General features: G+C 51.8%; 1 protein-coding gene across 7 annotated transcripts in view, besides 2 other annotated features; it reads right to left on the bottom strand.

Moving 5' to 3' along the window:
• The window catches only part of SCARA3 (scavenger receptor class A member 3), a 100,679-nt gene extending 87,522 nt beyond the window's left edge, over positions 1-13,157 (bottom strand). For 5 of the 7 annotated variants that reach the window (XR_949419.3, XM_017013536.3, XM_017013537.2 and 2 more), the window contains exon 1: positions 12,413-12,718. Coding sequence is in view for 6 of the 7 variants with exons in the window: in XM_017013536.3 (XP_016869025.1) it covers positions 12,413-12,419 (7 nt within the window). In the remaining variant the exon portion in view is untranslated. Of the gene's footprint in view, positions 1-12,412; positions 12,719-12,924 lie in introns of those variants that run through there. The other 2 variants (XM_047421850.1, XM_017013535.2) reach the window with 2 other exon arrangements.
• Positions 11,426-12,254: an enhancer, noted in NCBI's record as "H3K27ac-H3K4me1 hESC enhancer chr8:27491883-27492711 (GRCh37/hg19 assembly coordinates)". NCBI's record gives its function as "activates a minimal SCP1, AML or CMV promoter by ChIP-STARR-seq in naive H9 embryonic stem cells {active_cell/tissue: H9 hESC(naive)}" and the evidence as "EXISTENCE:reporter gene assay evidence [ECO:0000049][PMID:30033119]".
• Positions 12,255-13,084: an enhancer, noted in NCBI's record as "H3K27ac-H3K4me1 hESC enhancer chr8:27491053-27491882 (GRCh37/hg19 assembly coordinates)". NCBI's record gives its function as "activates a minimal SCP1, AML or CMV promoter by ChIP-STARR-seq in primed H9 embryonic stem cells {active_cell/tissue: H9 hESC(primed)}" and the evidence as "EXISTENCE:reporter gene assay evidence [ECO:0000049][PMID:30033119]".

The following is a 13,599-nucleotide window of genomic DNA, read 5'->3' as shown; positions in this document are numbered from 1 at the left end:
ACCGTGGGGAGGTATTCCTTCCAACCCTTAGAGCAGAGCTGCCTCCTTGGCCGGGTTCCTCGTTTCTCTCCATCCTTGATGAGCTCCTCTGCCCTCCCCCGTGACTGGGCCTCCTCCCTGTTCTGGCTCTAGGGCCCATTTCATCACTTCACTGTTTATAGCCTTTGCAGGGAATCTGGGATGACTTAAATCAAGCAAGGCTGACACCAGCCTTCAGCAAACACCCTCTCAAAAAACACAGAGCTTTGTTATAACCAGCTTTCCCAATGGACAGCCCCCCAGATTAGCAACTGTTAGCCAGTGGAAATTGCTAACGAGGCTTTCCAGTAACGCACCGAGTGACCCATGGGAAGGGAAGTGGCGGCTGCCAGCGAAGATCTTGGATCTCTCTAGACTAGGGGGACCACGGGTGTTTGGCCATCTTCCCTCCACTGACATCTCAGCTCCATAACTCACAGCCCTCCCCAATCCCCAAAGAGGTCTTCTCTCTCTAATCCCTTGGATTTCCTGTCTTCCAGCACTAAGCCCCGGACTGTGGGGACCCCTGACTCACCTATGTCTGGAATGCTGTAGTAACTCACCACTGTAGCCTCGTTCACTTAATGAGAACATAATCCAAAGCATTTGTGAGGCTCTTATAAGCCGAGCCCTTTGCAAGCACAAGCTCATTATGTTCATGTTATACCAAGATTGTTCTGATCAGAATATGTATGGATGAATAAACAGTCACCAAGAATGAAAAAGCCCTGGCTGAGGCCCCAGAGTAGTGATTGATCAGAGGATGACTGATTAGGCAGGCATCCGTAGTGCCTCCTTGAACTAGGCCAAGCAGGGTTAATAGAGATGGGAAAAGAATTTCCTTCCCCTCTCCGTCTTCTATGCCTATTCTCCTGCCATTAAGGGCAAACTGACTTAGAGTTAGGTGCACCAGCTCTCCAAAGGGGTTTCAGGGATAGAGAACCACAGCCTGAGAGGGTGGGAAGGGAATTTGCAAATTCACCTCCATCATGTCACAAAGGCTCAGAGAGGTTAAGTGGCCTGGAAGCTGGTTAGTGGCTCCTAAATATCCAAGAATCTGAGGCAGAATCCAAACACGCATTTGAGTGTCTGCAGAGTTGCACATGCCCATCTCAGAAACGCCTCAGAACTGGGACAAGACCTTTCCATATAAGCCTGATATCTGTTGACAGGTCACGCTCCTAGCAGTTTGCTACATCCCTGTGGTCAGGAAAGCTCCCCTCAACTGCTTTCAGCACAGGGTTGATCACATAGTGGATGTTCCATAAAGATGTGTTTTCTGGCCCTCGGCGAAGGCCTATGTCTTCAGTTAACTGTTATCCTCTGCTATTTTAATCAGGAGCTCATGTGTATTTAAAAAATGAAGATTGATGACTTAAAATAGGGTTGGAATCTGGTTTATTCTTAGGATTCTCCATGGCTAGGGAGTGTTGGGGACGATGGATGCATTTGGAGTGCAAAGGCTTAATTTATATACCTTTCGAAATTTATAAAATTTTGCAGCGAAGGCGAAATTTATATACCAAGGGCTGGTGTTTGAACTGCAAAGGAATGAGCTGGTGGAGGACTGGGTAGGAGCAAAATGTTGGCTCTACTTCCCCTCCCCTTCGCAGAACAGAACAAGGGACATCATATTCTTCTCCTGAAGCTCCAAGGGTTCTTGTTTGGGGGGGTCGTGTTTTTCCATTGTTGTCCCAGTTAATTGCTTTTCAATACCACCTGTATGTAATATGTCTATAGCTCTCTAAAGTAAGGCGCTGGTTCTTGTCTGTGTCATGTATAAAGAAATGTAGGACTCTTGACATGCTGAAAATCGAGGAGTGCCTGAGTGTGAAGCATGCTGGGTGTCTGGAAGGGGTAATGAAATCATCATGTTATGATAGGCTCTAGGTGTCTAGAGAGAGACTCCGTTTATAGGAAGGCAGAAATAGCACTGGTTGCCTTCTGTCTCTCTTCTCTCTCTCTCTCTCTCTCTCTCTCCCCTTCTTTTCTTCATTTTGTGGATTCCAGGAGCAAGGTTATTTTGGCAGGAGCGGATGGGCTTGGAAGAGGACACTGGAGAAGATAAGGTGATGCTGGGACCTAAAAACCTATGGGAAAACTCCTCTCTGGGAACAAACTTGGGACAGCATGGGAATCATGAAAGAACGAACATCTAAGACTCCATGAGCCAGTTTCTGCCTGCTCTGATCCCAAGGCCCCAAGGGACCACAGCTGCTATGAGGGAGGGCCATGGTCCCTGTCATAAAGAAGCCAGCCCCATGGATTTCCTAGTGAAAGGCACAGCCAGGCCCCAATCTTCTTGCAGTGATTACTACCCAAATCGCAGGCAAGGTGCTTAGAAAAAAAAGTTAAATAGCCTGGGAAGGCCAAGGCCAAGGCCAAGGCTGCAAACCCAGACCCATAAAATAGTGGTGACCACTAGAAATTTGAAAGGGCCTCTCTTCCTGTCATCCCTTAGGTCACAATATCCATCTCAAACTCCAGAAAGGACAGCCACAAGAGGAGAAATTCCTTTTTTTTTTTTAAGTCTGCTCTCACAGAGCCACGTAGCAAGTTTGATGGAGGGTGCATGCCTTGGCACATTGCTAAGCACGGCCACTGACTCCACTGGGGTTGAGCTTGGTTCAGCTCTCCCTTTGGGGGTAGAAAATAGCCCGGACCTGTTAACCAACTGCTAACTCAACTGTGGTCACCAATGCCGGCTTTCTTTTGGTTGACCAAAAATGTGTCCTTGGTTCCCTCTTTCGCCTTTCTGGGACTGCATTCTTCCATCTGAGTCAACAAGGGGGAGAGATTCGAGGAACTGAATAAAAGGTCTTTCTTTGGGCACTTCAAGGAACATATTTTGATAATTATCTTCTGCAGGGTTCACAGAGTGGGTTTTCAAAACAGCCAATTGGATCGGTAAAAATAAAGATTTCAGAGTCTTCTCTGGAGCCAATGCTATATTTAAAGTGCAGAATAGCTATTAGTTTAAGGTTGGAGAACGCTATAAGTAAGGTTGCAAAATTGTTTTCATTAGAGCCCTTCCGCCACTACCCCCTCTCCACAGGCTTCCTTTGTGGGTTTGTCTGTAATCGGTTGGGAATCCGCCTGCCCGCTCAGGTCTCAAGACACAGGTCCTTTCCCTTCAAATCTTCTTGCTCAACAAGTTGTCCTTTTCTGCTTCCGTGGCTCTGCCAGTTTCTCTCCTCCAGCACTCGCCCCTTTTTTGGTCCCCATCCTCAAGCTCCTGCATCCCTAAAGCCACATCTGCTGCTCTGAGACAGGCTTCCCTCCCGGTTCCTGCTACCTCCACCTGAATCCCTTTGGCTGCCTCCCACCCTGTTCTTGGTAACCACAGAGGTTGTGGGTAAATCCCTGCTTTATCCTAAATCCCCTTTATCCTAAACAACTTTCTTGCCCTCAACTTTTCTAACTTGGACCCTATTCCAGGTGGTGCAATTCTTCATTAGATGAGCACGGCCCACTCTGCACAGACATTCAGCATCCTGGCCTTGCCCGCTAAAGGCCAATAGCAATCCCTGGTCATTGTGACAACCCCGAATGCCCACCCATTTCTAAATACCTGCTCGCAGGCTGGTGCTGCCTCTAGTTGAGACAAGAACCTAGGCTACTCACTCAATGCAACAGACTCCCCCCATTACTTACACACTGATCTCCTCTCTGTCCACAGCACCAACCCCCCCGACTCCCCTGAACCCCATGAATTCAGAGGGATGGGAGGGGTGGGAATCACTGGCTTTCTTTTCTTTTCTTTTTTTGTTTCTTTTTATAGACAAGGTCTTGCTCTATTGGCCAGGCTGGAGTGCTGTGGTGCGATCATGGCTCAGTGCCGCCTAGACCTCCCGGGTTCAAACGATCCTCCCACCTCAGCCTCCTAAGTAGCTGAGGCTACAGGTGTGTGCCATCACACCCAGCTAATCTTGCTTATTTTTTGTAGAGACAAGATCTCACTATGTTGCCCAGGCTGGTCTCAAATTCCTGGCCTGAAGTGATCCTCCTCCCTGGGTCTCCCAAAGTGCTGGGATTACTGGCATGAGCCACCATGCCTGGCCAGGAATCACCAGTTCTCTTGATCCCCGTTGTCACCCCTGATCCTGCAAATCCTACCCTGTCTCGCATGGGCACCCCACTTCCCTCCTCTGAGTTTCATGTTCCTTATGCGTAAATGGTGGGGAGATCGTCCGCTTCAATGAGCTGCTGTGAAAATCCAATGAGACGTATATGAAAAGTACCTGGTACATCGTAAATGCTTAATAAATAGTAGTAGCAGCCACTTTTATTAGGATTATTTTTCTATCCTATTCCAATTAATGCTGCCATTTATTGCCATCTCCCAACCCCCATCACTCCCAGGACCAATTTCCAACTTACAAGAAATCAGTGTTTCAAAACATATCCTATGGGACACTAGTCCCAAATTATTCTTTGTGAAAAAGGATTATTTGATCAAGTAAGTGTGGAAAACATGGCATACTCTATCGCCATCTTAGAGATTCACATTCACATAGTAAGCATTTTGAAAAGTCCTGCCAAAAAAAATAATAAGCCCATTTAAATCTGTGTTTAACTCCACGTTTCTCAGACTTATTTGGTCATGGAACTTCCTGCAGATCTTGAAAAATAAATGTATCTTTTAATTCTGGGACCTATGTTCAGAGGCAGAGGGACTCTGACTTTAGGGAACACTGTTCTGGACAATGACATCACCTGGATTGGATGAATTCTTCATTCTGTCTCCTGCCATCAACTTGAATGGAAGCAGCTTTTCTGTTGAAACTCAGGGCTCTGGACATGGGATTTACTGTCTCATCTCTACACATCCTGCCTGCCCTCTGGAGCTTAAGGCTTATTGCTGTTCCATCTGCTTGATCTCAAGCCCCTTGCCTTCTTCATCCCCAATGCACTCAGCCTTTCCTCGCTCTCCTTCCTCCAAGTTCTCATTCGCCCTGACCTCCAAGCCCAGCCCAGTCCCCAAGGGTTGAGTTCTGCCCCATGGAGCCTGTAGTTCTCTCTCCTGGCCATGGTCCCTTCCATCCTCAGCCTGCTTTCTTCGAATTGCACTAGAGAAGCCTGGAGCTGCAGGAGAGTGTCAGAGGGGGGCATGCATTTGGCTTCAGCCAAGTCCTGCCATCTGGATCCTCACTTCCCATTCCTGGGTTCCTCCTCAGGTCAGCCCACCTCATTCCCCAAAGATGAGCTCACCCCCTCCTTTTCTGAAAGGATCAAGACCATGAGGTTCCAACTTCTTTCTTTATCATCCACTAACTCTGTCCAGATGCCTACACTTCAAACCCAGTCTGGGGGAGGGATGGGGAAAGAGGCCTTCTCGTGCATTCTGAGTAGCCTGGCACCCTCTGTCAATACTGCAAGGGCGAGTGCCCTTTGACTCAGTAATCCTCCTTCTAGGAACTTCATGTTAAGAGAATAATTACACAATTAGGCCAAGGTGTATGTGTAAAGGTGATCACTGCATGCTATGATAAATCTGAGGGAAAATGCAAATAGCTAAAATGCCCATCTCCAGGGGATTGGTTACATAAATGCTCGTAGAGTCTTACTATGGGATGTTATGAAACCATTTTTTAAAAATACTGCAAGCTGGGTGCAGTGGCTCACGCCTGTAATCCCAGCATTTTGGGAGGCTAAGGCAGGAGGATCACTTGAGCCCAAGAGTTTGAGATCAGCCTGGGGAACAGGGTGAAACCTCATCTCTACAAAAAATACAAAAATTAGCTGGGCATGGTGGCATGCATCTGTAGTCCCAGTTACTTGGGAGGCTGAGGTAGGACAATTGCTTGAGCCTAAGAGGTTGAGGCTGCAGTGAGCCATGATAGTGCCACTACCCTCCAGCTTGGGCAACAGAGCAAGACTCTGTCTCAAGCAAAGAAACAAACAAACAAAAACAAAAGCAACAACTAAAAACCAGCACTAAGAACAAAAACGCTAAGTAATCGGGAGGCTGAGGAGGGAGGATTGCTTGAGGTCGGGAGCTTGAGACCAGCCTGGGCAACATAGCGAGACTTCATCTCTACAAATAATACAAAAATTAGCTGGGCATGGTGGCACCTGCTTATAGTCCCAGCTACTTGGGAGGCTGGGAGGATCCTTGAGCCCAGGAGGTCAAGGCTGCAGTAACCTACAATGGTACCACTGCACTCCAGCCTGGGCACAGAGTGAGACTATGTCTCAAAGTAAAATAAAATAAAAATAAAAATAACATGGATAGTGTAATCTTATCTACATGAAAAAAATCTGTGCAAACATACACAGAATGATTTCTGAAGAATGTTCATCTACATTTTGTCATTTATTATCTCTACAGGGCAGGAGTTCACGTGAGTGAATGTTTTTCCTTTTTGGAATTTTTTGATTTTTAAAAAAATAATAAATGTGTTATAAAAAGGTTAAATGCAGCTGCTCGTAATGCAGAGTCTATGTCTGTAACCATCTTTTCTCCTTCCCTTGCCTCCCGATAAAGAGATTCTTTCTTCTCAAAGCAAGTCTCCCTCAATTCCACCGCTCTGTCCCCAAGTCCCCCCATGCCTCTTCTGTCCCTCCCCCTCCCAATGAGCACGGGCCATCCCTGCCTTGAAATCCTTTGAGCTGGGCCCTGCCTCCCACTCTAAGGACACAGCTCCTCCTGCGCCTTTGCTTCTGATCCACTCAGCCCCTCTGGCCCTTGCAACCTGGCCTTCTCTGATCCATGAATCCTGAGCTAACTCTGCTGATCAGCAGTCAACGCGGTGGGTCATTTCCTCCCCCTTGGAACTTTCTCCTCTCAATTTCCATGACATTACCATCATGGTTCTCTGCCTGTGTCCTGGACTGCTCCTCTTGGCTCCTTTACAAGCTCATTTTCTTCCTCCCACTCTCTAAAAGTAGAGGTTTCTCAACATGGGCTAAGGCCACGAGAGAATATCTCCAGGGGCAAGTGGCAAATAGGCCTTCTCCTGACAAACCCTCCCAGGTCTCTCCAATGTCAACCAGACACAACCGCGTGTCCTTTATGGAGCACTCAGGTCCTTTCTGGCTTAGGGCTCCCTCAACTGCAGGCCATCTCTCTCCCCCACCACCAAACACTCTTCCCCCAGGACCTGCTGTCCAACTTTTCCCAGCACTCCTTCCTGCCCTCTTCACTGACCCCATCCAACTCCTCCCCACCCTTCAGCTCCTCCCTGAAGCCTTTCTGAACTGCCCAACTTGAAATGCTCCCTTTCTCTCCCGGGATTCCCATCCAATCTCCCGTATATGCCGTGCATTTGTTCTTTTGTGGCATCTGCCTGGATGATTCGGTTCTCGTCTCAGGTGTGCACGTCTTATTTCTGCTGGGAGGGCAGAAAGCACCCAGGCTTGCCTTCCAACTAGCGTGCTTCCTCCCTAAAAACAGGAACTCCATACATGTTGGCTGACTGAAAAGTGTGGGCTGGGGCAACAACTCAGAATAACCCATTTTTTAGCTTGGGTTCAGGTGAAGGGGAAGGTGTCTCATCTGAACCATGAAGAAGGTGCCTGCAGGTCTCCACCTGGAGACACTGAGGACACCGATGGAAATACAGCTGTGAAGCCCAGAGAGGCAAATCTGGTGCCGTCAGATTTGCCAGCTCCCACATGTCACATCTTCGAGGCTGGGAGAGATTGTTCAGGGAACGGGTGCCAGCAAGAACCAGGAGCCTGTCTGTGGCTGAAACCGAGGACGCATTTCGAAGAACAGCAGCAAAGAAGGAAAGCCAGGAAAAGAGCCCAGCCCACCCCCAAACTCTCTCGCTGGGAACTCCCTTAAGACACTTATCACTGTTAGTCTTTTTTTGAGTGACTTGGGCACAAATCCTATGTGTCCTAGTAAAGAGTAAGCTCCCTGAGAGAAAGGGCAGCATCTGAGCTCTTTGTAGCTTCCTCAGTCCTTAGACATATATAGACATACAGAGCCGGGCACCTGGCAGTCGCCCCATCGCTGTTTGTTGAATACAGGCATCTTTCTGCATGTTTACGGAATGCCTGCGTGAGGTTCTGACGATACCATGGTACAGTACAGATGTGCACACTGAACAGACTTAGTGGACACCCCCTAAGTGCCAGAAACAGACAGAGACCCCACTGTCATGAAACTTACACTCTGATGCCATCCCATGGGATCATCTGGTCCACCTGGATGAGGGGACTGACCCCAGGGAGTACCAGGGACTTCATCCCAGTGATAAAGCTGGCCTATGACAGGGCTGGGCCTGACCTTGGGACTCAGTGCTCTACACACACACACACACACACACACACACACACAATCACTAAATTATACATGATCAAACATGGGCAGTGCATGTATGAGAGCCATGCCCAGCTATGCCACCCTGTACATCAATTCTAACACCCAGAACAGCTGCCTGTCCTTCACGGAAACTGCCAAGCTATCCATCAACCTAGCCTACTGAGAAACAGAAGGCTTTTTCCTCGCTCTCGATGAGCCTTGGGACCTGAGTCTTCAGTTATTAGGCTTACCCCCAGCTAGAGGGCAAAGTGACTGTTTTGGCTGGGGGTGGGAGTGGGGCCGATGTTTGAGGATTTGGAGCCGAACTCCAACATCTGAGCCGCTGGGCTCCCTGGACCCCTCAGTTAGGCTGTCTGGTGGCTCTTTTCACCTTCACCACATCAGCTCCTTTTCTTCTAGCCCTGGCTCCTTCCCGTGCCCCTGGGGAATGAGGTCAGGCTTTCTGGGGCCCCCAGCCTGGCCGCTCATGAGTGGAGATCCTCTCCTCTCGGCCAGAGGAGCGGTGCAGGGCGGATTCCTCCTGGGATTGCATCGCTGTGTTTTCACAGCCCCTCCTCTCCCCACTTCCACCCTTTGCCTAAATGAAGTGGGCACTGCTCTCTGATTCTGGAAGGAGGGGTTGTTTCTCCCACGCCTGAGGAACAGAGGGCTGCCCCCTGCCCTGGCCACCGCAGTCAAGCAGAAGTCTCTCGGGGCAAAGAGGCCACAAGGTGGGCCCGCTTCCAGCCACCTCACCACTGAGTCACTTCCGCTCCCCAAGTGGTGCTCAGGCGCAGAGCTCTTGGGCCTCAGGGACCACCCAGGAGGACAACGGGGCCGAAGAGGGCAGATGATGGGGCCGGGACTAAAGCCCATGTCTTCGACTCTCAAATCAGTCTTCACGGTGCACCAGCCTGTGTCTTGGGCATCTTGGGGGTGGGTCACTCTTACTGGAAGTGTGGAAACAACCCCACAGGTGGCTGCTAATGGCTTGGACAAGCCAGTGGGAAGCTCCAAGGTGGGCCTATCACCAAGGGGCTGGTGGCACCTGAGTGTCCCCTTAGGGCTGCGTGTGAGAGGGGCCAGGTGCCAGCTTGGATCAAAAGAGGCAGCGGCCTGGGAGGCCCTGTCAGCTGGCCGTGGGGCAGGAGGGGCCTCGGGTGGAAATGGCTTGGCTGGCAGAGTGGGCCCTGGCACTCGGCCACCGGTGGGCTGGGCAGCCCGACTAGCGTGTTTTCTTGATCACCTTCCCCACCATCACCGGTTCTCCATACAACATCACATCACATCACGTGTTTGTTTTGAGCAGGGCATGATCCTTTGCCAACAGATGTAATTCGAAGTTTGGTGTGGCCTCTGGAGGAGCACGGGAAGGGTTCTCTGGAAGGGGCTGCCTGCCCTACTCTGCCGGGCACTTTACTTTTTCCACTCGAGTGAGAAAAATCCTGGTTCTTTACACCCCACAGATCCCGGAAGCCAATTATTTGCTGTCTGCCCTGCCATTTCCATCTCTGGTAGAGGGGCGGCTCTTCCCGGCTGCCAGGGAGGGAAGTGCTGGAAGTCAGCCCCCAGCCCCGCAGCCCATGCAGCCCCTGTGATGTTATGGGAGATCACTGAGGGGTTTCCGGAGGCTGGAGGAAAAACACACCAGCGCCGCCCTCAGGGCCTCCGTAGACAGGAATCCCGCTCGGCACATGAAGAGGCTGTGGGATCCAAGGGAAAGGAGGAGAGAGGCAGGGCTTGGCTTCCTGTATAGGAACCCACAGCACAAGGAGAGCCTGGAACCCTGCAACGTGGTGTCAGCGGGTCCTCCTCAGGCACCTCTTTTTAAATATTCATTCACACCAGCTCTTTTCTTCTCTATTTCACAGGATTTTGGCCCTGCCTCTTTTTTTAAATAAATTCTATTTTTTTAGAGACAGGGTCTCACTCTGTTGCCCAGGCTGGAATGCAGTGGTGCAATCATGGCTCATTACACTTCAAACTCCCAGGCTCAAGCGATCCTCCCTCCTCGGGCTCCGGAGTAGCTAGAATTACAGGTATCTGCCACCACACCCTGCTGGTGCTTGTCTGGAATTGGGGTGGAGCCACTCTGAGAATGTGAAACATCTCACCACCATCATCAAGGTCCAGGGCAGTGTGGCCCCGTGTAAGATGTGGTCCAAGACCTTTCTGGAGGCTTCCAGTAATGGTCTGCCCTGGGCCAGCTGACTGCAGAGGGTTCAGCTGCAAAGGTGTCTCAGTGAGGAGCAGGACTTGGGGCGAGGCTCCCCTCACTGCCTGCCAGGTGCTCCCTAGGGCTGATTATAACTTGCTTGGCTCATCCCGCAGAGCCTAGGACTTGGGGAGGCCAACGGGAAGCACAGAAAGAAGGTGCCAGAGGCAGAGGGAAGGAAGCCACAAAGAGGCAAGGTGGATTCTAGACTAGAAGTCAGGAGTCCTGGGGTCTAGTCACCCTGACTAACTGTGATTTGTAACAACTCACTTCTGTCCACAGGACCAGCTACATAATTTGTGGGGCCCAGTGTAAAAGGAAAGTGTGTGTGTTTGTGTGTTGGTGGGAGGGGATGACTTGTTAAAAAATTATAAGAATTTCAGGCCTCATGGTGGATCAAGGCTGTAATCCCAGCACTTTAGGAGGCTGAGGTGGGAGGATCGTTTGAGGCCAGGAGTTATAGACCAACCTGGGCAATATAATAAGGCCCCATATCTATCAAAAAAAAAAAAAATCCATGCATGGTGGTGCACACCTGTAGTCCTAGTAGTACCAGCTACATGAGAGGCTGAAGTGGGAGGATCACTTGAGCCCAGAAGTTTGAGGCTGCAGTGAGCTATGATCATGCCATTGCACTCCAGCATGGGCAACAGATTGAGTCCCTATCTCTAAAATAAAACAAAATAAAATACATTTTTAAAAAGTTCAAGATAGCACCTGCAGAGCATTAAACCAAGTGTGGGACCTTGTAGGATGGCACTGGTTGCAGAAGCCATGAAGCCAGCCCTACCTGCTTGGGCCTCAGTTTCCCTAACTATGCAATGCGGAGGCTGCATCCAGTCAGAAGTTTGTCGGTGGAGCCCTTTCTTCCAATGAACCCTCAGGCCATTCTTTGTATGAGAGACAAACAGAGCTGCTCTGGTTGAAGTAGGCTGAGAGCTCTGGCCCCACCTCTTCCACCTCCATACCTGTCAGTGGCACCTGAGAGTGTGGTTGAGAGCCCTGTAGATGATCTCAAAGGCCCTTTTCAGTTTCTACTTTCCATAAGCAGATGAGGTGGTGAGGTTCTCACTGCTAGGAACACAAGCATCTGCTGGGGGTGTTACAGGAGGATTACTGAAAGACACCCGAAATGGCGTTCAAAACCTCGGAGGTTCCCTGCCTCATGAGATAACTCCAAAGCCTGCTTCTCCTGTAGCCTCAAAATGACCTTGAAGACCAAGTAGGGGCCTAAAGACACCCAGGCCCTGGAAATGGCCACTTGGGATCATGTCTGGTTCTTATTTCCATCCCAAGAACTGGCTGCAAGGGCCACCCTGCTGCTGGCTCACCACCCTGGGGAGAGGTCAGTCCTGGCCCATGGGGCTTCCCCGGCGGCTTCCTCCCAAGGAGGTCAGAGGGTGGGTCAGGCAGGGTTCAGGGGTTGGGAAGGGCAGGGCCTGGGCTGAGGGGCTCTGACACTGCAGGTCTCTTTTGGGGAAGGGCTGGAGGTCCTGGGGGAGAATCCTAGGCCTGGCCCCCGGTTGAAAGGCTCGGTGGGGGATGCAGGGGCCTCTCTGATGGGTCCCCAGGGTCGAAATTTACACTGCTGGAAAGTTGGGCTGGTGATGCCTTTCTGCGTCTACTGGTTAAAGGGATCAGAAACTTCTCTGGATTTTAAAATTATTTGTGAGGTTAGAGCAACGGCCGATGAGAACAGGACTGCAAGGGGGGGTGTGTGAGTGTCCCCATCCTCCCTCTCCTCTTTGCTTCCTCTGGTCTTCAGGGATCCGTCCTGTCTCGCAGGATGCCCAAAAAGGCAGGGGAAAAGCCAGAGGCGCCCTGCCCTCCTCTCAGCCTCGCCTGCAGAAAAGGCGCCCCCCAGGCCCTGGGTGGAGCGGGGGTGCAGGCGGCCCCCCTCGGAGCTGCCCCCGACAGGCCGCCCTTACCTTTCATGGTCTCTTCCTCTGGGGCCTCAGGAGGGCCCCGCTGCAGGCGGCTGGAGCTGTAGTGGAGCCGGGCGGCCGGCGGATCCTCCAGGGCGCGGATCGCCGTCCTAGGCGCCGCCCGCGGCCGTGGGGCTCCGGCCGGGACTCATGCTCCGGCGCGCGGGCTGCGGAGGCGGCGGGAGGAGTGGAGGGTCCCGCGGGGTCGCAGCCTGGGGAAGCCCCGCCGGGCGCCTAGCGCCGCGCCCCGCCGCCCAGAGCGCGCATCCCGCCGCCGCCCGCGCTTCCCGCTGGGGCCCCGCGAGGTCTGCCGCCGCCCCTCGCCCCGCGCACCCTTCCTCCCTCCCTCCTTCCCGCCTTCTCCTCTCCCTCTCCCTCCTTTCCTCCCTCGCTCGCAAGCCTCCCTCCCTCCTCGTCACTTCTTGGGCCCCGGCCCAGATCAACTTCCTTGGTATTTTCAAAACTGCCGCGGCCGGCCTCTTTGTGCCGCCGCGGGGGCCCCGCGCCCCGCCTACCTCGCCCGTGCGCCCCCGCAGCCCCACAGCCCAGCCTCGAACCCGGGCTCCCGCGGCGTCCTCCCTGCCCGCGCTGCGGCCGCAATGGGGGGGCTCACCGGGAGAGCTCCTTGATCTTAGTCCATTTCACTATCGGGACCGCCAAGTGGCTGGGGCAGGGGTGGGGACCCCAGATTTTAGCCCTGCACGTTTTTCTCGCCCATCTTATGATGTCGAGGGCCTGGGAGAAGGACGTCCGGGAGAAGGACGTCCGCACATTTTAGTACTGAAAGTCCCGTGTCCAGGGCAGACGTGGAAGGTTGGCCACCCTGTGAGCACCCTGGCTCTGCCCCTGGCGAGCTGAGTGACTTTGGGCATCCAGTTCTCATCTCCAAGCCTCTTCTTTCTACATGAGAGAATTGGGCCTGGAGTGCGCCACATTCTGTGATTTATTTTTCATTTTTATTTTTTTGAGGCTCTAGCCATCTAAGCTGGAGTGCAGTGGTGCAATCTCCGCTCACTGCAACCTCCGCCTCCTGGGTTCAAATGATTCTCCTGCCTCAGCCTCCCGAGTAGCTGGGATTACAGGTATGCACCATCCCGTCCGGTAATTTTTTTTTGTATTTTTAGTAGAGACTAAAAATGTTGGGGAGGCTGGTCTGGAACTCCCGACCTCAGGTGGTCCACCCACCTCAG

This window comes from Homo sapiens, chromosome 8 (assembly GCF_000001405.40).
Source record: "Homo sapiens chromosome 8, GRCh38.p14 Primary Assembly".
Classification (NCBI taxonomy): domain Eukaryota; kingdom Metazoa; phylum Chordata; class Mammalia; order Primates; family Hominidae; genus Homo; species Homo sapiens.
Note: the sequence above shows the minus strand (reverse complement) of the source record. Positions and strands in the feature narration are given on the sequence as shown.